Raw genomic sequence first — 3,965 nt, forward strand, 5'->3', positions numbered from 1 at the left:
TAGTTGCTCGCATTTGCAAAGCATTTTATAGATATAAAAGGAGGCATACAATTTCATAGATTTGAAGATACTCTTTTTTTCCTGTTGTAACATCCTCAAAACTGGGATGCATCTCAAAATCAATGGCATTTTAGATTAGATGAAATGTGTCATATTTTTCAAAATATTGGGGAAACAGTACACGGTTGTCAATATTTCAGTGTTGCCTTGGGAAATGGGTATGGGCAGATGGACTGAAATGGAACATGAGGGAACACTTGAGAGTTATGAAAATGTATGTATTAATTGTGGCAGTGGTCATGAGCGTACACTTTTGTAAAACTTTGTCAAACTATACAGTCAAAAAGGGGTGGTCCATTTTATTGCATGTAAATTATAACTCAATAATGTTGATGCAAGAAGAAAAAAAACAGAAAGTTTAAGTGAAAAAAAAAATTCCCTTCTTGTAACTCTCTTTGCTTTGGTTTTCAAGACATCAGTGAAATGCTCTTTCAGGTTCGTGTACAAAATGTGGATAATAGGTTTGTTCATAAAGTTAAATGAGATAATGCTAGGAAAGTACTTGGCTTAGGTCCTGCTCTGGCATTAACAAAGCACAGTTGACAGGGGCTACTGCCTTTCTTTCTTCTGTGCCTAAGATGAACCATTGTATAAAAGCATAATGATCAGCATTACCATAGCTGATCACTGTTTCATTAAACAAATTTATTTTTTCATAAATCTCAAGTCAACCAGGCTGTTAATAAATTATTAGGGAAAAACCCAAATCAAATATAATAAATATTATATGTGGACAATTTGTCAGTAAAATTGTATATGATATGAAGAGAACAACTCGGCTATCAGTAAGCCAAAGGGTCAGATCTGACCCTTTAATGATCTTGTGATGCTCAAAAGGTATTGTTTATTATACTTGAAATATTTGCCCCTAGGCAGCCCCACAGTTTTCAAGCCTTTTCTACTACCACCATGCATCTAACCTGAAATTTCCTAACAAGAACCTCCAGGCTACATGTTTCCAAGTTTCTAGTAATATGATATTGAAAAATGCATTTCATTTCCTCTGGACCTCAGCTATCTCATCCCTAAAGTGAGGATATTAACTACTTCCTTTGTTTTCCTCAATGTTCATTTTATCTGATAGTAATATCATCTGTCCAACTTTATTATGATTAATATTTGCATAGTATAGCTTTTTTCTTCTGATTACTTTTAGCCTAAGTGTGTCATTGAATTTAAAATTCATTTATTGAAGACAACATACTGAGTGATCTTGCCTTTTTACCTAGTCTTATTATCTCTGAATTTTGATTTCAGTGTTTAGATGATTATATTTAATATAATTTTTAACATGGCTGCATTTAAGTGTAACCTCTTGTTATCCATTTTTTTTCTATTTGTCCCGTCTGTTCTTTGTTCCCTTTTCCCTCTTGTCCTGACTTATTTTGTATTAAGTTGGATTAATTTTATTGTTTCATTTTACTTCCACTTTTGGCTTATTTGGCACACTTCTTTGTTCCATGTTTGCAATGAGGTTTAACTTATGAGTCTCTAGCTTATCACAACATGCAATAAATCATTTTCTTACAACTCACATTGGTGGTTAAAATCTTATAACAGTGTACTTCCATTCCCTTGTCCTTTGTACTATCATCGTATGTTTTAGTTATTTATGTCTTACAAACTCCATAATACATCATTGCTATTTTGCTTTAGACAGCCAGTCATCTTTTTATAATACTTTTAAAGGTATAACTTATGTATAATAATCTGTACATATTCAAATTGTGCTATTCCAATGAGTCTGAGATATATATGTGGATAAACATGTGTATCCATCCATGAAACCACTGCCACAATCAAGATACTGAACATGTCTGTGAATCCCCAGAGTTTTATCTTGCCCATATGCACGTCTCCTGATGACAAATTCTTTTAGTTCTTCTTCTTTTTTTTAGTCAGAAAATGTATTTATTTCACCTTAATGTACGAAAAATACTTTTGCTGGCTATATAGGCTTCTAAATAGATATTTTTCTTTCAGCACATTAAGGATGTTGTTCCAATCTCTTCTAATTTGCAATGTTTCAAGGAGAGACCAGCAGCAACATGTTCAGCGGAGAGCTGATGCTAGTGTAGAGGGCTAGCAGAGCTCTGTCAAATGTGGAAGAGCTGCAGTTTAGCCTGGGAATGGAGCCATTAGGGGAGACATAATAAATTGACTTGGAGATCAGAAAGGCTGCCTTGGGAGGATTCTAGTGGCAGAACTTCTGAAAGTATCTAGGGTTTGGCTCAGTGGCTTAAGGACTCAGCTAACTCTATAGTCTATCAATTTGCCATCATTAAACGTTGCTATTTGTACCTTACCAAAGTCCTTCCTCACATTCTTTGCACAGGACCTTAGCATGGTAGTGATTCATTAAATGTTTTTTGAATTGAGTTGGATCCTTGCTATCTAATGAAATCATTAGAAAAAATGGAACCTCGCTATATTGAAGTTTAACTTGACAATAGAATTAGTTCCCAATTTTTCAACTCCTTGAACAAAAATCATTTCTTAGGTGATACAATATTTATGTGAATTAGTACTAACCTTTGGGAGAGCATTAAACATTCCCCATTAATAATTGCTTCTAAGTGATAGTGCATACTTGGCAGGGAATGGGAGCATTTATAGGTTCTCTCTCCCAGTATTCACAGACTTTTAATGAGAGCTGTAGCTCACTTGAGTTGAGGGAATAAAAGACAAGGGAGCGCTAGGATTCCTCCCTTTGCTCTTCACATTGTGACTGGTGAACAAGGCCGACTTCATTCCACAGCTGGATTGATATGTAAATTTACTCCGACTAATTGGCTTCCCCAGCTGTCTCCAGAGGGCGGATGTATTCTTTATAAAGTGCTGTCTAGGGCTGCATTGAGAACATTAGAACTACTTAATTGAATATCAATGAATCTTTATAAACTAATAATGATGGGGAGCCTGGGAAGCCTGATGTAGATTTGGCATATTGAGAAGAGGAGTGCCCTGATTTGAATTTGTGGGAAGTGAAATTTTCTCTGAGTTTTACAAAACCCAATTTAGGCTTCTTTAATCTAAAATCCTTGAAAGCCCCACTGGTGCCTTCTTGAACATGTCATTTGGTGAATGTTGGACGTGAGCAAGTGTGTCAGTCTGTGTCAAGAGATTACCTCCCTCCTTTTCCTAATACAGTAAAACTCAATGATTGTTGTGGTTAATTCTTGCTCATGCAGGAAGAGTCACTACTCCTTTCCACAAGTCACTCCTCCTTTCCCTTAGGGACTGGGGGAGTGCATCCAAACTGAGTATACCTTGTTGCTCCTTGCACAGGGCTCCTTGCAGAGCTGATATTCAGAAACTGAGTGAGCATAGATCTTTGCCTTTAAGTCCTACCAGGAAGTTCACTGAATCAAACCAAACCCAACCAAAGCAAAGCACCAAACCAAACAAGAATAACAAACAACAAACATAACTCTGTGTAGTTCAAAGTAGTGGGGTTGATATTGCTGGATCACTGGGCCATTCTGAGGTCCACTGAGATGTGCCTAGGATGAGGATTTCCTTTTTCTTGTCTTCTCTCCCTCCCTCTACTACCTTGTGCTATCAGACATTCAAAGGCCTAGGGGGGCAGGTCACCTGAGGTTGGGAGTTCGAGACCAGCCTGACCAACATGGAGAAACCCTGTTTCTACTAAAAAAATACAAAATTTAAGGCTGGGCGTGGTGGCTCAAGCCTGTAATCCCAGCACTTTGGGAGGCCAAGGCGAGTGAATCACGAGGTCAGGAGGTCAAGACCATCCTGGCTAACACGGTGAAACCCCGTCTCTACTAAAAATACAAAAAAATTAGTCAAGCGTGGTGGCGGGCGCCTGTAGTCCCAGATACTCGGGAGGCTGAGGCAGGAGAATGGCGTGAATCTGGGAGACGGAGCTTGCAGTGAGCTGAGAT

The 3,965-nt window shown here is 37.8% G+C and overlaps 1 annotated feature.

Annotated features, from left to right (window-relative positions):
• Positions 2,085-3,445: an enhancer, noted in NCBI's record as "VISTA enhancer hs1746". NCBI's record gives its function as "enhancer in: forebrain[4/5]" and the evidence as "EXISTENCE:transgenic organism evidence [ECO:0001131][PMID:17130149]".

The sequence above is a fragment of the Homo sapiens genome, chromosome X, assembly GCF_000001405.40.
Source record: "Homo sapiens chromosome X, GRCh38.p14 Primary Assembly".
In the NCBI taxonomy this organism is placed as follows: Eukaryota; Metazoa; Chordata; class Mammalia; order Primates; family Hominidae; genus Homo; species Homo sapiens.